At 36.5% G+C, this 27,259-nt stretch overlaps 1 protein-coding gene across 8 annotated transcripts in view; it reads left to right on the top strand.

The window, feature by feature from the left end:
- Positions 1-27,018, top strand: part of ZUP1 (zinc finger containing ubiquitin peptidase 1) — a 33,149-nt gene extending 6,131 nt beyond the window's left edge. For 4 of the 8 annotated variants that reach the window (NM_001361191.2, NM_001361190.2, NM_145062.3 and 1 more), the window contains 8 exons: positions 1,790-1,900; positions 3,712-3,833; positions 5,784-5,952; positions 10,444-10,632; positions 10,899-11,064; positions 15,026-15,177; positions 16,702-16,922; positions 26,757-27,018. In NM_001361191.2, the coding sequence (NP_001348120.1) occupies positions 1,819-1,900; positions 3,712-3,833; positions 5,784-5,952; positions 10,444-10,632; positions 10,899-11,064; positions 15,026-15,177; positions 16,702-16,922; positions 26,757-26,804 (1,149 nt within the window). In that variant the 5' untranslated portion in view covers positions 1,790-1,818 and the 3' untranslated portion in view covers positions 26,805-27,018. Of the gene's footprint in view, positions 1-1,789; positions 1,901-2,266; positions 2,404-3,711; positions 3,834-5,783; positions 5,953-10,443; positions 10,633-10,898; positions 11,065-15,025; positions 15,178-16,701; positions 16,923-26,756 lie in introns of all 8 variants that reach the window. The other 4 variants (NR_154589.2, NR_154586.2, NR_154588.2 and 1 more) reach the window with 4 other exon arrangements.
- The last annotated feature ends 241 nt before the right edge of the window (positions 27,019-27,259 follow it).

Here is a 27,259-nt window from a genome sequence, read left to right as displayed (position 1 = left end):
AGCTGACTGATGACCGATGGTATTTCTGAGGGCATTGTGGTAGGTATTGGGAGAATAGGAGGGGTAATAGCTTGGGTCAGATTAGCAGATGTCCTTCAGGTATTTAAAGATTGTTAAGACACTGCCACTGAACAATTAGATTGGATTCATTGACACAACAGTGTTGGTGGTTACATCAGCCCTAGATGACTCCATTGGATGATGATGGCTAACCTCTGAGGCTTAGTTTAGATTCTGGTGGTAAAAAATGTATACTGGGATATGAGGTGTAGTGTGGTCTAATGTTGAGGAAGGTTGGTTATCACTTAAAACTAGAAGGGGTGGAGGGATTGGCTTGCAGTAGTGTGATGATCAAAGCGATAAGCAAAGGCCTCCTTGGCATTGGCTCTGGCTCTAAGGCATTTTATGGTAGAGAACTGGCTGAAAGACTTCTCTTACATCCGCCAGCATTACTTATGGAAGCTGTATACCATTATTTCTTACTGCTGCTTTTGGAAATATTTTCTGAGTACTTAATACTTCATTTTCTCTTGAGCTTTGCCATTGAATTTTTTATTCCAATGATTACATCTTAATATTTTCATTTTCTTCATCTTTCTATTTTTTCTTAGTAACTTTCTGTCCTGGTTTCAAAGATTCAGTTCCCTCCTTTATTTCAGTGAGCATTTTGAACATACTTATTTTACAGTTTATTATGGATTACTGTAGCTCCATTTCTTCACAGGTAACTTTTTCAGTTTGTAGATTTCTTAGCTGTTTTTCTTGGCATTGCAGCCCCCAGTGAGTTTAGCAATTCAAATTTTAGTGTTCATCTGTTATGGGAGTTTTATATGATCCCTTCCCTGTGAAGCAGTTTCATGGTTCCTTCACACTGGCTGTTCACAGTCTCTGCTTTCAGACCAGGCCTTACATATACAGATTGCTCTATGCTTTCACTCTGTGTATATGCACAATTCTGGGTCCCTCTTCTATGTCCCTTATCTGCTAGGTCTTGGTCTTATAGAGGAACAATTTCTGTTTTTGGCAAGCTAGACCTGTCTGCCTGCAGTGCTATGTGATGGATGCAGCTCTTTAATCTCCTGCTCCTGTGTAGACAGTATTACCCCAATTCCCAGCTTTATGCTGGATGTTTAAGTTCAGCACCTTACCACTCTGTTGGGTGCTGAGAATTTAGTCCTAAAAACCCATATCCAGACTGGGCCCTACTTACCACTTTGGTTTTCCTTTCTGCTTCTCTTGTTTTGACTACAGATCTGAATATTTATTATTAATATTTCCTTTTTTTTTGGAGTGGTATGAGAGGTTTGTGCTATGCTCAGCCTTCTATCTCGACCCTAGAAGTAGAAAAATAGCTTTTAAATCCACTACAAAGAGCTTTTACTTATATAAGGTTAATAGGTGGTAGACAGTCTTTGACATGGGGTGAAAAAATCTAAAAGTTATAAAAATAAAACCAACTTGGCTGGGCATGGTGGCTCATGCCTGTAATCCCAGCACTTTGGGATGCTGAGGCAGAAGGATCACTTGAGTCCAGGAGTTTGAGACCAGCCTGGACGACATAGTGAGATCTCATCTCTAAAAAAAAAAAAATTAGCTGGGCGTGGTGGCGCATGCCTTTAGCCCCATCTACTTGGGAGGCTGAGATGGGAGGATTGCTGCAGTGAGCCGTGATGGTGCCACTGCACGCCAGCCTGGGCAACAGAGTGAGACCCTGTCTCAAAAAAAAAAAAAGCAAAGAAAAAAATTAAAATAAAAAAATAAAAACAACTTAATTATATCTCTGATACAGACTGTGATCAACCACTCTATGATTGTCCTATGTGTGGGCTCATATGTACAAATTACCATATTCTTCAGGAACATGTTGACTTGCATTTGGAAGAAAACAGCTTTCAGCAAGGTATGTTTATATGTTTGAAGATAAAAATATCATTTAATTTCTACTTTCTAGGACACATATCTAATTTTTAGATTTGTGATATGGAAAAAATATTTTAAAATACATCTTTTCCTTTAAAAGTGTTTTATTTACAAGTTGAGGCCATTTCTTTAGCAGCTAGAAGTATCTGAATATTGTATTTGGTCAGCGAAAATTGTTGAACTAGAAAACTGCCATATGGCACATAAAATTTTACAAATGAATGTGAACTATATAACCAAAACATCTTTCAGTGCATCTTGAGCTGCTTGAATAGCTTCTAAATGACTTACTGGTTTTATTGTGATTCTATAAAAGTTTTCCTTTCTCCCCTATGTTTTTTAATAGTGGCATTGTTTAAATAATCATTATGGTGGCTTAGAAGTGGAAAAATCCTATATGAATGTTAGAAGCCCACTGAACGAAAATAAAAAGTAGATCCCAAGAGAAACCAATTGTGTTTTACCCTATTTCAGTTTTTTAAGGTACGTAGATAGCTTCTGTTAAGGCAGAGGTCTTTAGTGTCCAGTATCAATGATCCTAGTACCAGTATCGGTGTTCATGGACAATGTTACTGCTCACTCACCCTAAGCCAAATATGAGATTATTGGGGCAAAGATGGAAAAGTTCCCTGCTCTGGTGGTTTCTGAATGTCTGCTAATTCTTACTCTTATTTATGATAGGCTTTGTATGAGCACGTATATTACAGTGTAAACCTATAGTGGGTAATAAGAAAAAGATATGGTCTAAGTAAATCACTGTAGATAACCTCAGGGGACACTAAACATTGAGTGTGACTTGTATATCCCCAAGAATGGAAGGGTGACCAAATAGGAAGATGTAGCAGCAGCTGAGAACTTTGAAAGGAAAGGAAGAATAGTCAGTGATATAATTAAACCATCAGGTCATGGGGTTAAGGAGACAAGATAGTGGCCAGAAGCCACTGACAAATGGATCTGGGGGACACCGAGTAGAGAAGATGCAGGATGAGATGTTGCAAAGTTTTACCATTTTTGGGGGCCAAACTGTAATTAAATTATTATCTAACACCTGCACTTTGTAAATGTGTATTTTTATGCTCTTTATTTTTTTTTTTTTCTCCCCTAGTATTTCTTTGAAAAATCAATCTGCCTTAGTTATGTTAAGGAGTATCAATGCAGGATGTTACTTAACGTTTTAAAATTCTGGTTTCCTCAGTAAATAATAATAACTACTTCATAAGATTGTTACAAAGATCAAATGATATAATTAATGAAAAGTGCTTGTCACAGCTTTAAACACTTAGTGAGGCTGGGCATGGTAGCTCACGCCTGTAATCTCAGCACTTTGGGAGGCCGAGGCTGGTGGATCACCTGAGGTTAGGAGTTTGAGACCAGCCTGACCAACATGGCGAAACTCCATCTCTACTAAAAATACAAAAATTAGCTGGGCATGGTGGCAGGCACCTGTAATCCCAGCTACTCAGGAGGCTGCAGCAGGAGAATCACTTGAACCTGGCAGGCAGAGGTTGCAGTGAGCTGAGATCGCACCATTGTACTCCAGCCTGGGCAATAAGAGCGAAACTCCGTCTCAAAAAACAAAAAACAGTGACTGTTAGTTGTCATTTAGATGGAGGTTATTCCTTACCAAAGCAGTTCTAAGTTTTGCTAAATTTGTACTCAGTTCCATATCATCACAGTCATGAATAAATGGCAAATAACAGCATTTACTCTATTTTAAAAACATATATTAAATAATAAATAATCTTTGATTGCAACAGTTATTTTATTCTGAACATTAACAATACCTAACAGGCATGGATAGAGTCCAGTGTTCTGGTGATCTACAATTGGCTCACCAGCTTCAGCAAGAAGAAGACAGAAAGAGGAGATCTGAAGAATCAAGACAAGAAATAGAAGAATTTCAGAAGCTGCAGGTACAAAGATTAATAACAATTATAATATTTTGATTTGGTAAAGTTATTTTTCAAATATGCTTTCCAGTGTATTATTTTTGTCCTTGTTATTATTCAAAAAAAATTTATACATGTTTGTAACAGACACCATTTATAAATATTCATTCTAGTGAGGCACAGGGGTAATCACTTCACATACAATATCTCAAAATCTTTGCAACATATTCATGAAGAAGTTACTTTAGGCCCTCCCACGCCCCCTTTTTTTTCAGATGAAGAAATGGAGACAGAGAATGGTTAAGTAATTTGCTCAGTGTCAGGCAGCTAATTAGTGATAAAGCTTGCATTCAAACCTGTGTAAGTTGATGGGACAAATTAGGAAACCAAGACTCAGAATTTAAGTGTTTGTATAGATGCTTGGAAGCGAAATTTATACTTAGAATTAATGTCTCCTGAGTCTTAAATTATTTTACAGATTGCAATTTCAAACATTTACAACTATTTTATGGGAAAATGCTTTTTTTAAATGATATTTGAGGCTTCATTTATCTTAGGTGGGTGGTTTTACCTGTTGGACTAAACTGGTAGCATCTGTTATATTTTTAATGCATTTAAAATTTTAATGTCTGTTTTTCCTTTTTTCAGTCCTAATTTGTAGACTGTAGTGTTATCTGTGCTAATAATGCTCATAGATTCATAGATTTTGTTGTTGTTGTTTGTTTGTTTGTTTGAGACGGAGTTTCACTCTTGTCGCCCAGGCTGGAATGCAATGGTGCAATCTTGGTTCACTGCAACCTCCGCCTTCTAGGGTCAAGTGATTCTCCTGCCTCAGCCTCCCAAGTAGCTGGGATTACAGGTGTGCACCACCATGCCTGGCTCATTTTTTTGTATTATTAGTAGAGACAGGGTTTCACCGTGTTGGCCAAACTGGTCTTGAACTCCTAAACTCAGGTGATCCACCTGCCTTGGCCTCCCAAAGTGCTGGGATTATAGGCATGAGCCACCGTGCCTGGCCTATTGCTTATAGTTTTTAAATGTTCTTTTTTTAGTGATGATAGGATAGTGCATACATAAAAAGGGTTTACAGTTGAATAGGTTTGAAAGTGTTCAGTTAAACAGGTTTGTATACTTTGGGACTTCTCAAAGCCTTTAATATACTAATGTGCATGTACATATCACAATTTCCCCAGACTTGTTTGACCTCTCTTTTTTTCTCAGACATCTCACATGAGTATTGTTGCTTAGAATGTGCTTTGGAAGACCTAATGTAGGATTTTTTTCTCACTGGTGACTCACAATACTTGCAAAATAGGAAAGAAAATTGGCTTTTCTTAAGACTTTTATGCCTTATGTAATTTAAAACATGATCAATACAAAAAGTTTCCAATATTTAAGGAGGTTATGTAATTTTGCAAGTTAGTTGTTTAGATCTCAGAAAATTTTTCTGTAGAAAAGTTTCCGTGAAAACTTTTCCATAGACAATTTTTCCATAGTTTTATACATACTATTTGAGATTTCTGTCCAGTGTACAAAACATAGTTCATTTACTGTGTAACATGACTGACTAAATGAATTATGGATTAAGTAGGCCTTTATGGACTAGACTGGGAACCAAATAACAAGGACTGACAAGTTTCCTTGAAAAAATCAGCAATGCATTCAGAACTCTTCTGCATCTCCCAATACCTGAGGTAGAAAGACAGGATCCTCTGCTTTCCCTACTACAGGAAAAGCAAGTCTCTTGCCCTGGAGATTGATTATAAAGAAGTGGTTGCTTATTAAGTCAATAATTTTTTTTTGTGTGTGTGTGTGTGTGTGTTATTAGTTTTTGTAAAAATCTTTAAGTTAACTTGTATAAAGTCTATAAACCAGAATGTTTCAACATGTTTCCAAATAAAATTTTAATAAGTTTCCATCCTCATAGAGTTACAGGGATGTAAAAATTAAGTCATTTATTTTTATGTTCAATAGAGACAATATGGTTTAGATAATTCTGGAGGATACAAACAACAACAACTACGAAATATGGAGATAGAAGTAAATAGGGGAAGAATGCCTCCATCTGAATTTCATAGGAGAAAAGCTGATATGATGGAATCATTAGCTCTTGGTTTTGACGATGGAAAAACAAAAACTTCCGGTGAGTATTTAAACATCAGAGTCATTGTTTTAATATTGCTTATACCACTGAAGTAATAATCAGAATCATTTTAATTTTGCTTAATTTTCATAATCTGTGCACAAATATTTTTTTAAAAATGTATTGTTTTAAAACTTCTGAATTATTTTTATGATAAATAATTCACTTAAAAATTTACTTTTATATTATGTTACTTGACATTTAAAAAGCTATGCTCTAGAGAGTGCTAAGAGAAATATAATGTGAGCCACATATATAATTTTAAATTTCCTGGCTCCACATTAACAAAAGTGAAAAGGAGGCTGGGCGCGGTGGCTCATGCCTGTAATCCCAGCACTTTGGGAGGCTGAGACAGGCGGATCACCTGAGGTCGGGAGTTCGAGACTAGCCTAACCAACATGGAGAAATCCCATCTCTACTAAAAAAAAATTACAAAATTAGCTGGGCGTGGTGGCACATGCCTGTAATCCCAGCTACTAGGGAGGCTGAGGCAGGAGAATCGCTTGAACCCGGGAGGCGGAGGTTGCGGTGAGCCGAGATTGCGCCATTGCACTCCAGCCTGGGCAACAAGAGCGAAACTCCATCTCAAAAAAAACAAAAAAAAAACAAAAAAAAGTGAAAAGGAACAGGGGAAGTTAATTTAAATAGTTTAAACCAGTGTATCCATGATATTATTATTTCAACATGTAATCAACATTAAAACTATTACTGAGACATTTTACATTGTTTATACATTCTTCAAAATCCATTGTGTATTTTCTACTTCACAGCACAACTCAATTGGGCAGCCACATTTCAAATTCTCGATAGCCACAAATGGCTATTGGCTATTTTATTGTTTGTACATTTTTAGACACTAACAACTCTATATACATTGTATCATTTAACTCAAAACATCCTCTCCTGTACTGTTATATATTCCAAATGAGGTCACTGTTGCTTAGAGAAGTTACAGTGACTTTGCCAAAGCAAGGTTACACAGCTGGTTATTCCTAATCAAATCTTCCTTGCCCCATAATATGGCTTTTTTCTGATGAGTATTAAAATTTTTTTCTTTGTATATATTAGTATATTAACAGACTTTTTATGGAAACAACTTTGTTACTGTCACCCAGATTTTTTGAATCTTAATGTTTTGCCATATTTACTTAAAAGTTTTTAAAGCTTCAACACCTTTGATAGGTATTCAAAGCCCTTTATGTACACTTTTTCTAATTCTAATTTGCCCTCCCCACAAGGGAACTATTATCCCAAGTTTGATATTTATCAGTCTCATACATGCTTTAGTACTCTTACCATGTATGTACATTTCCATAAAATATTTTGCAGGTGTTTATATATAAATGGGATACAACATGTATGCTATAAATTGTTTTGCTCAAATATATTGGTTCTTACAGTTCTACTTCATTCATTTTAGCTGCTGTGTAGTATTTCCTTGTATGAATTGTAGCTAACTTATCTTGTTTTCATATTGATAAACATTTAGATTGTTTCCAGTTTTCTACTCTTATAATTTATGAACATGTCTACTTCAGGAGTTTCTCTAGTATTACATCCAGAACTGGATGTAGCTAATTATAGCTAACTTATCTTGTTTTCATATTGATAAACATTTAGATTGCTTCCAGTTTTCTACTCTTATAATTTATGAACATGTCTACTTCAGGCGTTTCTCTAGTATTACATCCAGAACTGGAATGCTAAGTTAAAGGGCGTGCAAATCTTCAACGTTGTTAAGGTTATTATAGAATTGTTTTCCAAAGTGCTTGTAATCTACATTCACACCAGTGTATTTCACACATAGTATGGTGACACTTTTAAATTTTTGCTATTTAACAGGTTATGAGATGATACATGTTTTAATTTGCATTTTCTGGATTACTCCTGAGTTAGTTTCCTCTTGAACGAATTACCTGTTCTCTTCCTTTCTCTATTCTCTATTGAGTTGTTTGTTCTTACTGATTTATAGGAGACTGTTAAGTATTCAGAACACTATTCTTTCATTAGTTATATGAAATCCAAATATCTTTTTCAGGCCTGTGGTTTGTGTTTAAATGTTATATATAGTGCCTTTAATTAGACAGAAGTTTTGAATTTGAATGTAATCAAAGTTCTCAATCTTTCTATTTATTATTTGTGTCTTAAGTAACTCCCCCATCTTTAAGATCACAAATATATACCTTTATGTTTTCTTCAAATATTTATATTTTGCATTTCATATTTTGATTTTAAATCCACCCAGAATTTATTTGCATGTGTATGTTGGAGGGAGGAGGGAGAAGATAGGAATCTGATTATTTTCTCCTTGTTTATAACAGTCCTTATAGCAAGTACATATTATGCTTATTTATTTCACTACCATTTATTGAATCTGCATTTTCTCCACCTATTTGTGATACTATATATTATAGATTTTCATATATCCATGATTCTGTTTCTAAAGGCTGCCTTTATATTTCTTCAGGGGTCTCCATGTAAAAAAGTTCTCACTATAGCATAGAGCATCCTCCAGATGTGTGATATGATTCATTAGGATACAGGAAGAAAATATTAAATATGTCTGTAAAAAAGCACACTGTCCTGTAATATAGAAGTGATTTAGTGGCAGAGATTTTTATTTTTCGTTAATTATGCAAGTGTTAATTTAAGCAGCTATCATTTAAAGAGTCTTCACTTATATACTGCAATCTTGTTATAATTTTAACAACAGAATATAATTTAACTGAAGATAAATTTACTGTGGAAAATATCTAAAGACATTTAGGTGCTAAGGAATAAAAAGTATAAGGAAATTTCCCCCTAAAGCAGTTGCATGATGTTGCTAAGACAGTGTTGCTCTCCATCTGATATGTAACATATATACTAAAATGTACTAGAATGTTTATTACTTTCCTTTCTATTTTTTCTGTCCCCTACTCCACCTCATTCTTAAAGGGCTGCCTCAAATCTTGATCTCTTCATCAAAGTCTATGATATTAAAATCTACATTTAGCTTTCTTTCTCTGAATTCCTAGGGTACCCATTCATTCCATGCTACAACATTTAGTACTCAGTTATATACTATTTTAATTGTTGTTTTTCTTGAATTCAAGTCTTTCTAAGTTCTTTGGAAGTGGTTACAGTGATCAGTATTTCACCTTTTCATGGTGCAAGGCACAGCTACAACTATTGGTTCATTTAACTGTTTTTATTTATTGATCTTTTATTGTCTTTATTAAAGACAAAAACCCATTTTCTTCTAGGAAACCCTTCATTCAAGCAAAAAGAATTTAGTTATTGTCTTTGGTGCCACATGCTATGAGAAAGTTATGGGGCATATAATAAGATCTCCCTACCCATAGGCTTCACAGAGTCTGTAGAGTATGTAAATATACACAAAGAATTATAGTATTCTGTGACTGAATGTTGCTGGTACCTTGGGGACACAAAAATAGGGTAGAATCAGAAAAAGGGTCTATGAAGACAGTAGCATGTGAAGGATCTATAATTTTGAAACATAAGGAGAATATACTAAAAGCAGGAAAGGGGCCGAGTCAGATGTCCCTTGTCCTAACACCTTGTTTTTCCATATTATAGCACTTGTTATAGTTGGGGTCGATGACATTTTAAAGGATATTATCATATTTATCTTTTTGTACTTAGCATTTAGATAGTGCCAGGTGTATTAAAAAGTACTTAGCAAATACTGAATTTGAAAATTTAATAAAACTCTATGGGCCAAATTATGTTTAATGTGTTCAGTTAGGCCACAGCCAAAATTACAGCAAGAAGAGTAGTGTGAAATAAAGATAAGACAGTGGATAGCTTTCTGTAGACTTCATATAACATAGATTAGAACTATTCTAATTAGGTTTATAAGGCTATTAATAAGATTCCTAAACCTATTGTTCTGCCTTAAGAAAAGTTGTCTTCTGTTGTCTCAAACAAATTAATTAATCTCCCCAAATAGCAAAATGGAATATGTTACTAAAGGGTTGAAATTTAGCGTATTGGAGTATGAGATATGTTTATTATTCATGAAGTCAAGAGTTTTTAAATGAAAACATTTGTGTATTCTCATGCTTCGAAAATTGCAAAATCTGCAAAATAAAATCTTAAATTACAAAAAAATTAAAACTATTGGTAATAGGGAGCTATTAATATTTTTTGATTGGGAGCAAATTGATTAAGACTGAGTGATCTCCAGTAGTCTATACAATAAAATGGAGACACAAGAAGAACATTCATTCAACAGTTGTACTTTATGTGCTGGGCCCTGCAGATGCAGAAAATTTCAATGAACTGTAATAAATAATATGCTAGTGTTAGGAAACTTGGACTGTAGTAACAAGCAAGGACACAAACTAAGGTTATAGCAAGAAGAAGGTGAAGAAGATGGAATTAACAGGATTTAGGTATGGTGCGTGAAGGAGAGGTTGATATTAAAAATGTATGAGATAGCAATATAAAGGTGATAATGACTGCTTCTGAATCTCTTTTCTACTTTAGGAATTATTGAAGCACTTCATAGGTATTATCAGAATGCTGCCACAGATGTGAGACGGGTGTGGCTTTCTTCAGTGGTGGATCACTTTCATTCATCTTTAGGCGACAAAGGTTGGGGTTGTGGTTACAGAAATTTCCAAATGCTACTTTCATCATTATTACAAAATGATGCTTACAACGATTGCTTAAAAGGTATGTGAAATCTAGTACTCTGAACTTGTCATCTGATAAAATACATATGATATAGAATGATATAGCATACACAATTAATAGCTTTAACAGTTAGTGGATATTTATATAAGAAACCTGAATTCTGGTTAGAGGAAGAGAAAATGATAGAAGATGTCAGGAATAACTGTCTTAAAAACCGTAAAGTTCCCCGAGTACATAATACACTGCTAAATATTATTCAGTACTTTATTAACAGTCATGTAACATGTTTGCTTGTGTAATTTTAGGTATGTTGATTCCTTGCATTCCAAAAATTCAATCTATGATTGAAGATGCATGGAAGGAAGGTTTTGATCCTCAGGGGGCCTCTCAACTTAATAACAGGTTACAGGGAACAAAGGCCTGGATTGGAGCATGTGAAGTATATATACTCCTGACCTCCCTAAGGGTAAAGTATGTACCTTAAAACCTAAATAAATGTTATTTCCTTATCGGGGAGCTTTGTTTTGTAAAATTTTATTTTTTAGCAAAGAGATAGTTTAAAAATAAAATTAAGTAGCACTAAATTAAGTAGCAATGAAAATCAGCAGCCTATTCACTATCTTGTGCTCTTCTCTACCCTCAAGTTCTGTCTCTCAGAGGCAACTGTCACTTCCATTGTTTTTAAATGGTATGCTTTCATAGCTGTTTCTTGGTTTATGAGTTTCAGATAGTCTGTTTTAATATCTTATACCTGTTTACCTTCAATCCTTCTGATATGATTAAATCTTGGTTTTTATTAAAATCAGAGTTTACATCATTTTATAAAGTCAGATTTTATTATACAATTGTGTAAATATTGCTTGTTGCTGATTTTTTCTAAAATCATTTATAATTTTTCTTGAGTTAATAATTGTGTTTCCTTTTCTCTTTTACTATAATATGTGACGACATCATGGCCTCAAGTTTTTGCACTCTACCTGTCATGTAATCTGAGGCTCTCCTTATTCTCGGACACATCCTTCTTGAGCATTCTGTCCTCTTTGCTCCAATCTGGACTTTTTGCCTTCTAGATCTACAGCTATTGTCATGTAGCATTTTTTCACTGTTTTGTGTGTGTGTGTGTGTGTGTAGTCTCATTTTTAAAATGTATAACCTATTTATTTTCTGTGGAAGTTATTCCAACCTTCTCTTAGCCCATCATAATTTCACGATATTATGAAATTTCACCATGGGGTGTGGGGCTTTGATTCATTGTGTTGGGCATTTGTTTTTCTCTTTGAATCTGGAATTGTGAGTTGTCTAAGATCTTAGTTCCATCTAGGATAGTAGGTAAGAGCTTGAACTTTGGAGCGAGACTGCCTAACCTTGATTCATAGCTTTCCTACTTAATAGCTGAATGAATGAACTTGTCTGTACTTAGGTCTACTATTGATAAAAGAAGGTATTAATAGTAGTTAGACAATTAAATGGGATAATAAAGTACTTAGAACTGTGACTGGCATACAGCATGACTTCAGAGGTTAACTATTGTTGTTTGATAATTATAATGTCTCTGTTTTCTTTGTGGAACTATTGATAGTTGGCCACTGAACTAATCTTTTTTTTTTTTTTTTTTTTTTTGAGACGGAGTTTTTGCTGTGTTGCCCAGGCTGGAGTGCAGTGGCGTGATCTTGGCTCACTGCAAGCTCCGCCTCCTGGGTTCAAGCGATTCCCCTGCCTCAGCCTCCCTAGTAGCTGGGATTACAGGCTTCCGCTACCACGCCTGGCTAATTTTTGTATTTTTAGTGGAGACGAGGTTTCACCATGTTGGCCAGGCTGGTCTCAACTCTTGACCACAGGTGATCCACCCGCCTCGGCTTCCCGAAGTGCTAGGATTACAGGCTTGAGCCACGGCGCCCGGCCTGCTTCTTTACCTTCTAAGTTTATCATGTCTCTTTTTTAAAAATCTTTGCTTTTTCTCTATTTTCTAGATTTACTCAACTTTATCCCCCAATTACTGTATTGAAATTTTTATTTTACCCATTATGTTAAGGGGTAATTTCATAGCATCATTTTCTTTATGGTTGCAAAATTTCTTCCAATGTTTTCTTTCTATTGCCTGCATTTTGTTTGTTCGATATTAGTATTTTTTCATATCTGTTTGTTTTAGTCTTTTCTATTTTGAAGGCTTTCTTTTAATTTTGGAAATCCTTAGTTGTCCATTCAGAGAGTGAAGAATGAAACATTAAAAAGCTGATTAGAGTGCTGTAGGACTGCACAGAGCTTGCAGATTAGCAGACTTATTTAAAAGTCTTAGGTGGAAGGCGGAAGGTTACTATTTGGTTGGGGAACTCTCAAATATCGTTATATAGAGAGATCTTTTCCCAGAAGTTATCCAGAGAAGAGTTTTTCACTCTCTTACCTAGAGTTCCTACATTAGTGGAGGGGAGAGTTAAGGTGTGATTTGCCTTCTAAGCAAACTTTTAATTAATCTCATATTTTTAGCCTCACTGTTCTCAAACCTTATGCTTCTAAGCTTTCAGCCTCTCTCTGATTTTGAAACATACGGTCTCCATTTTCTTTTATTTACTTTTATATGTTCTCTGTGGTGCTTTCCATTTTCTGAAGATGTGAGCTCTTTTCCTGTCTATTCCCATTCTCTTTGTCCTTGGGTGTTTAAATCATTTTTTCCTTCAGTATTATGTCATTGGGTTTTTAAGAGGAAATAGAGATAGATGTCTGTGATCGTGTTTAATGGAATGTTTGCGTTAAGCTTTATGGCTTTATATTTTCTTTTATGTTTGTTTCTAAGTTATTTAACCAGTGTATCACATTCTTTTTACCACATTGATTGATTAGATTCAGAAATAAAAATATTTCTTTCATTAACATAGAAAAACTAATGTTGTGTGTATGTATAATAACTTTCTTGAATTATTTAAAGAACTATTTTAATGCCCTCTAAATTTATTCCTGCTTTTCTCCTTTTTCTTTTTGCCAATGTGTTCACACTTTGAGATTATTTATACTCTATCATGTTTTGAGTTTTAAAGTAATTTTTTTCTTTTTCTTTTTCTTTTTTTTTTTTTGAGACAGAGTCTGTCTCCAGTCTGTCACCCAGACCAGAGTGCAGTGGCGCGATCTTGGCTCACTGCAACCCCTGCCTCCCAGGCTTAAGTGATTCTTGTGCCTTTGCCTCCTGAGTAGCTGGGATTACAGGCATGTGCCACCATGCCTGGCTAATTTTTTTTTTTCTGCATTTTTAGTAGAGATGGGGTTTCGCCATGTTGTCCAGGCTGGTCTTGAACTCCTAGGCTCAAGCGATCCACCCGCCTTGGCCTCTCAAAGTACTGGGATCACAGGCGTGAGCCACTGCACCCAGCCGTAATTTTTGTCCAGCTTCTTTCTTGGTACCTTAAATAATTTAGAAAGCTTTTTTATTAATATATCCTGAGTGTGTTTAGTAGTTATTTACATGTCTTTCTGTTGCTCTCTCTATGAGTTATATCCTGTAGGGTACTGTTTAATTAGTATTCTAAATGTAAATATGCAAACTGCTAACCCCAAAACATTCTTTTTAAACGGTTTATCCAGAAGTTTATTTGAGCACTTAAAACCCAGTAACCAACTGTAAGTTACCAGCATTAAATTTGCTGAGGCTGAGGTTAGCAATTCGGATGTTTTAGAGATTTTATTGCCAAGAGAAACAAGAACAGGATATCTGTGCTGTAGTTTAAAGTGATGATAAAGCTATCAAATGCTTTTAGTTATACCCGACCTTTTAAAAACAGTTGTTGAGTAGTATAAACAGTGTTTCTGGTTAAAAAAATGTTTATTCAAGGGTGACTTCCTCTTGAAGGAAGAATACCACGGTGGTCCGGTGGCAAATAGGAGATAGATGTATAGATTGAGTACACACACATTTTTCTATGATTTACAAGTATTTTCTGTTATAGAGATTTGAGAGACCGACAGGAAAAGTATTTAGGATCTATTTTATATATACCAATGGCTACTGAGGAATTAAAATCAGAAATCAGCTTCTGATCATCAGGGTTAGAAACTAGAATAAAAGCTGTGAAAAAATTATGTGTAGATGACTTTTTAAAAATCAAGTATGGTCATTATTTACTATTCATGGAGATTTTATATATCAGAGAATGTTTGTAACCTTTAGGTTAGTCAGCAGACTTATTATGAAGTTATTTAAATAGTTAGCTAGTTAGAGGAATAGTTAAATAGTTAAATAGGGAGAATTGTTAAATAGTTATCCCCCACAAAAAGGAGTTTTTTAGATAAGTAATAAAAATTTATATTTACTTTTCTTCTTTTATAGGAAAGTAATGGCTAGAAACAGTTAGTTCTAAACTAAGAATTTGTTGTATTTGATAACTCCATCGATGAAAATATTTTAAAATGCCCTTTAAATGTGCATTTTGTCAATTTTTAATAGGTGTCATATTGTTGATTTTCACAAATCAACTGGTCCTTTGGGTACACACCCTCGCTTATTTGAATGGATATTGAACTATTATTCTTCAGAGGGAGAAGGGAGTCCAAAGGTAGTGTGTACATCTAAACCTCCTATCTATCTTCAGCATCAAGGTTAGTATTAATATAACTCATATTTGACAATGTTGTTTATAAGATAACAAATTGTTGCTTTCAGACAGGTTAAGGTTTTTTGTTTGTTTGTTTGTTTTTTTAGACAGAATCTCACTCTGTTGCTCAGGCTGGAGTGCAGTGGTGCAATCTTGGCTCGCTGCAACCTCCACCTTCCAGGTTCAAGTGATTCTCCTGCCTCAGCCTCCTGAGTAGCTGGGATTACAGGCGCCTGCCACCATACCTGGCTAATTTTTGTATTTTTAGTAGAAACGGGGTTTCACCATGTTGGCCAGGCTGGTCTGATAATAGCAGGGAGTATTATGACATTAATCTGTTTAATTTTTCAGAGCTCCTTTGACAGTACAATACTTTCTTAGGTAATTAAGATTGATATTTCTACAATACTTCATTGGGTAATTAAGACTGATATTCCTGACATCTTCAGGACCTTTTGCACTTCTTGTTTTCTGTGTTTAGTTCACTTGTCCTTCATTGTTCATCCCTTACCTTCTTGGGTCTTTACCCACATGTCACTTGAGTGAGGCCTTCCCTGACCTTACCTTACCTTAAAAGTAGAACTCAAGGCCAGGCATGGTAACTCATGCCTGTAATCCTAGCACTTTCAGAGGCCAAAGCAGGAGGATTGCTTGAGCCCAGCAGTTTGAGACCAGCCTGAGTGACATAGTGAGACCCTGTCTCTACAAAAACATAAGAAAATTAGCCAGGTGTGGTGGCACATGCCTGTAGTCCTAGCTACTCAGGAGGCTGAGGTGGGAGGGTCACTTGAGCCTTGGAGTTGGGGGCTATAGTGAGCCATGATTCTGCCACTGCACTCCAGCCTGGGCGGCGGAGTGAGGCTGTGTCAAAAACACGTACAACTCATCCCAGCATCCCACCGCTGGCATTTTCTTCACTTATTTACCTCATTTATAGAGTATCTCTTCCTATTAGAATATAAGTTCCAAGAACACAGGCACGTTTGTCTGTTTTGTTTGCTGTTATATACCTTCGTGCTTGGAGTAGTACCCGGCACATAGATACTTGGTAAATTATGAATGATGGTTTGGATTGACAGGAATAAACAGAAGTAAATGTTAGGAATTTCATTGTTTAGGAATATAAACTATAAGAGATTAAGCTCCCTCCACTGATATTCTAGCATTTATGGGTTTACTTTTGTTTACCTTTTGGAATCATGAGAGTTTTGTTCTAGAACAGTTTTTGTTCTTTCATTTGAGATAATTTGAATAAGAAGGATCAAAGGATTGGGAAAGGAAAAGTAAAATATTTGGCAGAATAAAAATGTTTTTTTTGGTAATGAAGCCTTTAGAAAACTAAAGTTAAATGAAAAAACTGAAGTAGAACTAAACTCTTACGTCTTAGGAGAACTTAGATACATATGTGTCAGAGTCTGACTGTATTTATATTCTAAACACACATATGATCACACAACATACATACAGAGACTATTTGTATAACTGTAAATAGATGTGACGTATGTATAACTTAAAAATCTTTTGATAGGTCACAGTCGAACTGTTATTGGAATTGAAGAGAAAAAAAACCGAACATTATGCTTACTAATACTTGATCCTGGATGTCCTTCTCGAGAAATGCAGAAATTATTAAAGCAAGACATAGAGGCTAGCAGTCTCAAGCAACTTCGGAAATCTATGGGAAATTTAAAACATAAGCAATACCAGATATTGGCAGTAGAGGGTGCTCTTTCTCTAGAGGAGAAACTTGTAAGTATCTAAATATTTATATGTGAAGTTTGAATGAGATGAACTTAAAAGTTTAAAACTTTTAGTTTAAAATCAGTGTTATCACTTTTTTCTTTTTTTTCTATTCTTTTTCTTTTTTTTTTTTTTTTTTGGAGACAGGGTCTCACTCTGTTGACCAGGCCTGAGTGCAGTGGCATGCAATCATGACTCACTACAGCCTTGACCTCCCAGGCTCAAGCGATCCTCCTGCCTCAGCCTCCCAAGTAGCTGGGACTACAGGCACATGCCACCACACCTGGCTAATTTTTGTATTTTTTGTAGAGACGGGGTTTCACCATGGTGCCCAGGCTGGTCTCAAACTCCTAGGCTCAAGCGATCTGCCCACCTCAGCCTCCCAAAGTGTTGGGATTACAGGCGTGAGCCACCGTGCCTAGCCCACTTTGTATTCCTTAGCACCTTATTCTGTTTCATTAACTTGGAAAAGCCATTTGGTTTTATATGTTTTTAATTTCTGGAATGAACATATTTATATTTGAAATGGTACTTTAATGACTTTTTATACTTAGAGCTTCATAAAAGTGTTTAATTTAATTTAATTTAATTTAATTTTTTTGCATTTTAAATATGTGCAGTTTACTGTATGTTAATTAAAACTTAATAAAGCTTTCAAAAGTACTTTTGTACAAATAATTATGATAGGCTACATCTTAAATGATGTTTTCATCAACCTTACAATTTAGCCTTGTAGGAGTGTCTGAATCCCTTGCAAAACAGTAGTCATTAAATGCCCGTTTCCTGTCTTGATATCATTCATGAGCTGATTTTTTCTTTTCACCTCCTCCTCCTCTTTCTTCTTCTTCTTCTTCTTTTTTTATTATTTATTATTATTATTATTATCATACTTTAAGTTTTAGGGTACATGTGCACAATGTGCAGGTTAGTTACATATGTATACATGTGCCATGATGGTGTGCTACACCCATTAAATCGTCATTTAGCATTAGGTATATTTCCTAATGCTATCCCTCCCCACTCCCCCCACCCCACAACAGTCCCCAGAGTGTGATGTTCCCCTTCCTGTGTCCATGTGTTCTCATTGTTCAATTCCCATCTATGAGTGAGAACATGCGGTGTTTGGTGTTTTGTTCTTGCGATAGTTTACTGAGAATGATGATTTCCAATTTCATCCATGTCCCTACAAAGGACATGAACTCATCATTTTTTATGGCTGCATAGTATTCCATGGTATATATGTGCCACATTTTCTTAATCCAGTCTATCACTGTTGGACATTTGGGTTGGTTCCAAGTCTTTGCTATTGTGAATAGTGCAGCAATAAACATACGTGTGCATGTGTCTTTATAGCAGCATGATTTATAGTCCTTTGGGTATATACCCAGTAATAGGATGGCTGGGTCAAATGGTATTTCTAGTTCTAGATCCCTGAGGAATCACCACACTGACTTCCACAATGGTTGAACTAGTTTATAGTCCCACCAATAGTGTAAAAGTGTTCCTATTTCTCCACATCCTCTCCAGCACCTGTTGTTTCCTGACTTTTTAATGATTGACATTCTAACTGGTGTGAGATGGTATCTCATTGTGGTTTTGATTTGCATTTCTCTGATGGCCAGTGATGATGAGCATTTTTTCATGAGTCTTTTGGCTGCATAAATGTCTTCTTTTGAGAAGTGTCTGTTCATATCGTTTGCCCACTTTTTCATGGGGTTGTTTGTTTTTTTCTTGTAAATTTGTTTGAGTTCATTGTAGATTCTGGATATTAGCCCTTTGTCAGATGAGTAGGTTGTGAAAATTTTCTCCTATTTTGTAGGTTGCCTGTTCACTCTGATGGTAGTTTCTCTTGCTGTGCAGAAGCTCTGTAGTTTAATTAGATCCCATTTGTCAATTTTGGCTTTTGTTGCCAATGCTTTTGGTGTTTTAGACATGAAGTCCTTGCCCATGCCTATGTGCTGAATGGTAATGCCTAGGTTTTCTTCTAGGGTTTTTATGGTTTTATGTCTAACATGTAAGTCTTTAATCCATCATGAATTAATTTTTGTATAAGGTGTAAGGAAGGGATCGAGTTTCAGCTTTCTACATATGGCCAGCCAGTTTTCCCAGCACCATTTATTAAATAGGAAATCCTTTCCCCATTGCTTGTTTTTCTCAGGTTTGTCAAAGATCAGATAGTTGTAGATATGCGGCATTATTTCTGAGGGCTCTGATCTGTTCCATTGATCTATATCTCTGTTTTGGTATCAGTACCATGCTGTTTTGGTTACTGTAACCTTGTAGTATAGTTTGAAGTCAGGTAGCGTGATGCCTCCAGATTTGTTCTTTTGGCTTAGGATTGACTTGGCGATGCGGGCTCTTTTTTGGTTCCATATGAACTTTAAAGTAGTTTTTTCCAATTCTGTGAAGAAAGTCATTGGTAGCTTGATGGGGATGGCATTGAATCTATAAATTACCTTGGGCAGTATGGCCATTTTCACGATATTGATTCTTCCTACCCATGAGCATAGAATGTTCTTCCATTTGTTTGTATCCTCTTTTATTTCATTGAGCGGTGGTTTGTAGTTCTCCTTGAAGAGGTCCTTCACGTCCCTTGTAAGTTGGATTCCTAAGTATTTTATTCTCTTTGAAGCAATTGTGAATGGGAGTTCACTCATGATTTGGCTCTCTGTTTGTCTGTTATTGGTGTATAAGAATGCTTGTGATTTTTGTACGTTGATTTTGTATCCTGAGACTTTGCTGAAGTTGCTTATCAACTTAAGGAGATTTTGGGCTGAGACAGTGGGGTTTTCTAGATGTACAATCATGTCATCTGCAAACAGGGACAATTTGACTTCCTCTTTTCCTAATTGAATACCCTTTATTTCCTTCTCCTGCCTAATTGCCCTGGCCAGAACTTCCAACATTATGTTGAATAGGAGTGGTGAGAGAGGGCATCCCTGTCTTGTGCCAGTTTTCAAAGGGAATGCTTCCAGTTTTTGCCCATTCAGTATGATATTGGCTGTGGGTTTGTCATAGATAGCTCTTATTATTTTGAGATACGTCCCATGAATACCTAATTTATTGAGAGTTTTTAGCATGAAGTGTTGTTGAATTTTGGCAAAGGCCTTTTCTGCATCTATTGAGATAATCATGTGGTTTTTGTCTTTGGTTCTGTTTATATTCTGGATTACATTTATTGATTTGCGTATATTGAACCAGCCTTGCATCCCAGGGATGAAGCTCACTTGATCATGGTGGATAAGGTTTTTGATGTGCTGCTGGATTCAGTTTGCCAGTATTTTATTGAGGATTTTTGCATCAATGTTCATCAAGGATATTGGTCTAAAATTCTCTTTTTTGGTTGTGTCTCTGCAAGGCTTTGGTATCAGGATGATGCTGGCCTCATAAAATGAGTTAGGGAGGATTCCCTCTTTTTCTATTGATCGGAATAGTTTCAGAAGGAATGTTACCAGTTCCTCCTTGTACCTCTGGTAGAATTCGGCTGTGAATCCATCTGGTCCTGGACTCTTTTTGGTTGGTAAGCTATTGATTATTGCCACAATTTCAGATCCTGTTATTGGTCTATTCAGAGATTCAACTTCTTCCTGATTTAGTCTTGGGAGAATGTATGTTTCGAGGAATTTATCCATTTCTTCTAGATTTTCTAGTTTATTTGCGTAGAGGTGTTTGTAGTATTCTCTGATGGTAGTTTGTATTTCTGTGGGATCGGTGGTGATATCCCCTTTATCATTTTTTATTGCGTCTGTTTGATTCTTCTTTTTTTCTTTATTAGTCTTGCTAGCGGTCTATCAATTTTGTTGATCCTTTCAAAAAACCGGCTCCTGAATTCATTAATTTTTTGAAGGGTTTTTTGTGTCTCTATTTCCTTCAGTTCTGCTCTGATTTTAGTTATTTCTTGCCTCCTGCTAGCTTTTGAATGTGTTTGCTCTTGCTTTTCTAGTTCTTTTAATTGTGATGTTAGGGTGTCAATTTTGGATCTTTTCTGCTTTCTCTTGTGGGCATTTAGTGCTATAAATTTCCCTCTACACACTGCTTTGAATGTGTCCCAGAGATTGTGTTATGTTGTGTCTTTGTTCTCGTTGGTTTCAAAGAGCATCTTTATTTCTGCCTTCATTTCGTTATGTACCCAGTAGTCATTCAGGAGCAGGTTGTTCAGTTTCCATGTAGTTGAGTGGTTTTGAGTGAGTTTCTTAATCCTGAGTTCTAGTTTGCTTGCACTGTGGTCTGAGAGACAGTTTGTTATAATTTCTGTTCTTTTACATTTGCTGAGGAGAGCTTTACTTCCAAGTATGTGGTCAATTTTGGAATAGGTGTGGTGTGGTGCTGAAAAAAAAGTATATTCTGCTGATTTGGGGTGGAGAGTTCTGTAGATGTCTATTAGGTCCGCTTGGTGCAGAGCTTAGTTCAATTCCTGGGTATTCTTGTTAACTTCCTGTCTCGTTGATCTGTCTAATGTTGACAGTGGGGTGTTAAAGTCTCCCATTATTATTGTGTGGGAGTCTAAGTCTCTTTGTAGGTCACTCAGGACTTGCTTTATGAATCTGGGTGCTCCTGTATTGGGTGCATATATATTTAGGATAGTTAGCTCTTCTTGTTGAATTGATCCCTTTACCATTATGTAATGGCCTCCTTTGTCTCTTTTGATCTTTGTTGATTTAAAGTCTGTTTTATCAGAGACTAGGATTGCAACCCCTGCCTTTTTTTCTTTTCCATTTGCTTGGTAGATCTTCCTCCATCCTTTTATTTTGAGCCTATGTGTGTCTCTGCACGTGAGATGGGTTTCCTGAATACAGCACACTGATGGGTCTTGACTCTTTATCCAATTTGCCAGTCTGTGTCTTTTAATTGGAGCATTTAGTCCATTTACATTTAAAGTTAATATTGTTGTGTGTGAATTTGATCCTGTCATTATGATGTTAGCTGGTTATTTTGCTTGTTAGTTGATGCAGTTTCTTCCTAGTCTCGATGGTCTTTACATTTTGGCATGATTTTGCAGTGGCTGGTACCGGTTGTGCCTTTCCATGTTTAGTGCTTCCTTCAGGATCTCTTTTAGGGCAGGCCTGGTGGTGACAAAATCTCTCAGCATTTGCTTGTCTGTAAAGTATTTTATTTCTCCTTCACTTGTGAAGCTTAGTTTGGCTGGATATGAAATTCTGGGTTGAAAATTCTTTTCTTTAAGAATGTTGAATATTGGCCCCCACTCTCTTCTGGCTTGTAGAGTTTCTGCTGAGAGATCCGCTGTTAGTCTGATGGGCTTCCCTTTGTGGGTAACCCGACCTTTCTTTCTGGCTGCCCTTAACATTTTTTCCTTCATTTCAGCTTTGGTAAATCTGACAATTATGTGTCTTGGAGTTGCTCTTCTCGAGGAGTATCTTTGTGGCATTCTCTGTATTTCCTGAATCTGACTGTTGGCCTCCCTTGCTAGATTGGGGAAGTTCTCCTGGATAATATCCTGCAGAGTGTTTTCCAACTTGGTTCCATTCTCCCCGTCACTTTCAGGTACACCAATCAGACGTAGATTTGGTCTTTTCACATAGTCCCATATTTCTTGGAGGCTTTGTTCATTTCTTTCTATTCTTTTTTCTCTAAACTTCCCTTCTCGCTTCATTTCATTCATTTCATCTTCCATCGCTGATACCCTTTCTTCCAGCTGATCACATTGGCTCCTGAGGCTTCTGCATTCTTCACGTAGTTCTCGAGCCTTGGCTTTCAGCTCCATCAGCTCCTTTAAGCACTTCTCTGTATTGGTTATTCTAGTTATACATTCGTCTAAATTTTTTTCAAAGTTTTTAACTTCTTTGCCTGTGGTTTGAATTTCATCCTGTAGCTCGGAGTAGTTTGATCGTCTGAAGCCTTCTTCTCTCAACTTGTCAAAGTCATTCTCCGTCCAGCTTTGTTCCGTTGCTGGTGAGGAACTGCGTTCCTTTGGAGGAGGAGAGGCACTCTGCTTTTTAGAGTTTCCAGTTTTTCTGCTCTGTTTTTTCCCCATCTTTGTGGTTTTATCTCCTGTTGGTCTTTGATGATGGTGATGTACAGATGGGTTTTTGGTGTGGATGTCCTTTCTGTTTGTTAGTTTTCCTTCTAACAGACAGGACCCTCAGCTGCAGGTCTGTTGGAGTTTGCTAGAGGTCCACTCCAGACCGTTTGCCTGGGTATCAGTAGCAGTGGCTGCAGAACAGCGGATTTTCGTGAACCGCGAATGCTGCTGTCTGATCGTTCCTCTGGAAGTTTTGTCTCAGAGGAGTACCCGGCCGTGTGAGGTGTCAGTCTGCCCCTACTGGGGGATGCCTCCCCGTTAGGCTGCTCAGGGGTCAGGGGTCAGGGACCCACTTGAGGAGGCAGTCTGCCCATTCTCAGATCTCCAGCTGTGTGCTGGGGGAACCACTGCTCTCCTCAAAGCTGTCAGACAGGGACATTTAAGTCTGCAGAGGTTACTGCTGTCTTTTTGTTTGTCTGTGCCCTGCCCCCAGAGGTGGAGCCTACAGAGGCAGGCAGGCCTCCTTGAGCTGTGGTGGGCTCCACCCAGTTCGAGCTTCCCGGCTGCTTTGTTTACCTAAGCGAGCCTGGGCAATGGCGGGCACCCCTCCCGCAGCCTTGCTGCCGCCTTGCAGTTTGATCTCAGACTGCTGTGCTAGCAATCAGGGAGACTCCGTGGGCGTAGGACCCTCCGAGCCAGGTGCAGGATATAATCTCCTGGTGCGCCGTTTCCTAAGCCTGTCGGAAAAGCGCAGTATTCGGGTGGGAGTGGCCCGATGTTCCAGGTGCCGCCTGTCACCCCTTTCCTTGACCAGGAAAGGGGACTCCCTGACCCCTTGCGCTTCCCGAGTGAGGCAATGCCTCGCCCTGCTTCATCTGGCGCATGGTGCGCTGCACCCACTGTCCTGCGCCCACTGTCTGGCACTCCCTAGTGAGATGAACCCGGTACCTCAGATGGAAATGCAGAAATCACCCGTCTTCTGCGTCACTCATGCTGGGAGCTGTAGACCGGAGCTGTTCCTATTCGGCCATCTTGGCTCCTCCTCCTCCAAAAGTGTTTAATTTTATAATATTTAATTTTTAATGTCAGGTGAGCGATGAATAATGTAAACATATAGTAAGAAAACCTAACTTAATCCAAGGAGACCTAACTCATATTGGCCTTATAATTGTGGTTTATTAAAATATGATTCTTGTGACTCCTAAGGCTCTATTTTATGCACTTGGGCTTATTGGATATTCACATTTCTAGAATTTAACTTCATTAGAATTTCCTCTTGTCTTTATTCCTTGCAGTTAAGTGATGAGCACAATATTCCAGAAAAATTCCTAGGAATTGAATCCTAGCTACTACACCATCAGGGGGGAACGTAATATTATAGAAAAATTCCTAGGAATTGAAAAATTTCCACTTGGTGTGAACTGAAGCTATATGATAGCACATCAAGTGTAGAAAATGCGTAAGCCCTAAATTAAGAAAAAAAAGCTCCAAAATACTTCACATTGATTTATTTCCCTCTAAAGAGAAAAGTGACTGAAGACTAGAGACAAACAGTTATGGAGAATAATGGGATCATGGGGGAAAGGACTGTAAGTTTTTGAAATAATAGAGCTAGAATAATCTTTTCAGTCTCATAACATGGGATACAAAGGCAAGGTTTTTTTTTTTTTTTTTTTGGAGACCGACTCTCACTCTGTCACCCAAGCTGGAGTGCAGTGGCTTGACCCCAGCCCACTGCAACCTCTGCCTCCCTCCCCAGTTCAAGTGATTCTCCTGCCTCAGTCTCCCAAGTAGTTGGGATTACAGGCGTGTGCCACCACGCCCAGCTAATTTTGTATATTTAGTAGAGATGGGGTTTCACCATGTTAGCCAGGCTGATGTTGAACTCCCAACTTCTGGTGATCCACCCGCCTTGGCCTACCAAAGTGCTGGGATTACAGGCGTGAGCCACCGTGCCCAGCCACATTAATTTTTTTAACCCTATCATTAATTTGTCTAGATAAAGTTAGGTTTGTTTCAATTATTGTAAAATACCAAGACACTTGCTCACCAGTGTACACATTCGAGAGCATAGGTGTGGTTAAGTATTACTGTGGAGTCTTGCTGAACATTTTAGTTGGCTGTTGTCTTTCTGGTTTTGGAAATGGAGTTGTTTGTGGGATTAGAATACTAAAAATGTGCTTTCTGCACTGTGCATTTGATGTTCTGGTTTTCTAAGTCATGGACAGTAGCTGTGCTTTAACTGTAAGAATCGTAACTTGGCTAACAATGTATAACACTGCCAGGTAGAAAAGGAATAATAATAATAAATATAATAAGATTTAATTATAATAGATTGAAATAACACTTGTCTAATGCTTATTCTGTACTATGGGCTATCTTATCCTAAGCACATTACATATGTTAACTAATTTAATCCACACAACAGCCCTATAAAGTAGACACCATTATTAATCTCCATTTTATAAAAGAGGATGCTGAGGCAGAGAGAAATTGTATTCCTAAGGTAGCACAACTGCTAAATAGAGAGTCAGGATTCCAATTTAGGCAGTTTGCATCTGGAGCCCTATATTGCCTCTTCTGTAAGGATACAAAACCTCATAGTCATGTTTGCTGAGCTTTTGTATGAACAATTTCACATTTCTTTTTGAAAAGATATTACATTTTGAAAAATGAAAAAAATTTAATCTTACTAATTTAATATAACTTTTTTTAGCATCTGTTTCTTATAGTTATTCTGTCCTTTTTAACAGTACTTTATACTGTAGGAATTCAGCCAATATTAATGTGCCAAGTGTTTTGCAGATCATCAGGTAAAAGTCTGCAGCTTTATTTAAAGGACAAAATAGTGATTTCACTTTTATTTCATATTAGCTTTTATAACTCATTTTTTAAAAGTATTTCTTCAAAGCAATAACTACAATTTTTTAAATTGTAGGATTAAAAACAAATATGATAGTTTATGGTATCCCAAAATATACATATTTATAACTGCATTTTATGTTTTGTTCTTCATATTTGTACTTATGATTAGTTCTGATCTTTTAATAATCATGCAACTATTATAGAAAGAGAGTGATTGGTTTTCAAAAATTTTTTTTAATCTTGGCCACTAGAGTCTTATAATTACCATAAGACATTTCTGCCATAGATATGTTTTGAGTGTCTACTAATTTCAGACTCTGTTCTAGATGTTGGAGCAATTGTTTAGGTGAAAGGATTTATTTTAGACAATATCACCTAATGCAGTTCAGTTAAATAGTAAATACAGATTTATGCAATAGCCATGTTCCTTAATTCTTTTTCACATTATGATATGCAGTTTTAAAGTTACCCCACTATATTCGTAAATTTTCCATCGTGTCATCCTTGTATTCTCAGCTTGATTTAACTTAATTTAGCTTGGTTTGATATGTCTTGATTTGGAACTCAGGTTGTGAAAATAGCACAAACATTGAAAATTTTTTTGAAGTGACGTTTTTAAGACTATAATGAGGGATATGCATAATGTTTATAAAGTTTCTCTGTGCACAGCCCTGTCTTCCTCTAGCCTCCTCTCTGTTTTTATTCATCTCTCTCTGACTTTGAGGCAGCATTTTACTTTTGACTCATTATTCCACAAAAAAGTGACATTTTCTATTTCATACTGTTTTGTCTTTATCTGGACTTTTCTTTGTTTATGCCTTGGCTGGAAAAATGTTTATTCCTAATTTCAGAAGTTTGAGATTGCAATTTTTCTTTAGGAATTTTCATTATTATCTTGAAAAAAAATTCCAGATTTTATTTTTTACATTAGAATGACAACACATATTCTAATTAATTGACTTATAGCTTAAAATTGTTTTTTAAAATTTCTTTTCAAGGCCAGGAGACAAGCTTCTCAAGTCTTTACAGCCGAGAAGATTCCTTGAAGAATCAAGCATTTAAGCATTTCAGTGATTGAGAACAATACTTTGTTTTCTAAATGTAGATATTGAACTCCTTAATACAATTATGAATCTGTGAATTCTCTTAAGTCTTAACATATAATTTAATTTCTAAAATGCCTGTGTTAATTGAATTATACCTATCATACTTCATTGTTTGGTAAATTATTTCAATAAAATGTCTTGTTTTTGCATTGTGGATTTTGTTTTTCTTATCTATGTTTCGGAAACCAGTTTTATTTTATAGCTGTAAGCTAATATGCATTGGGTCCTTACTTTTGTTAGGTACTCTTAGTATGTTACATATATTACTTAGTTTAATCTTCAGAATAGTTCTGTGAGACAAGTACTATTATTAGGCCCATGAAGAAGCAAGCTAAAGCCCTGAGAGGTTAGTAATTTGCCCAAGAAAAATCTTGATCCAGGGTATGAACCTAGGC

Source organism: Homo sapiens, chromosome 6, assembly GCF_000001405.40.
Source record: "Homo sapiens chromosome 6, GRCh38.p14 Primary Assembly".
In the NCBI taxonomy this organism is placed as follows: domain Eukaryota; kingdom Metazoa; phylum Chordata; class Mammalia; order Primates; family Hominidae; genus Homo; species Homo sapiens.
This window is presented reverse-complemented; position numbering and strand designations above follow the sequence as displayed.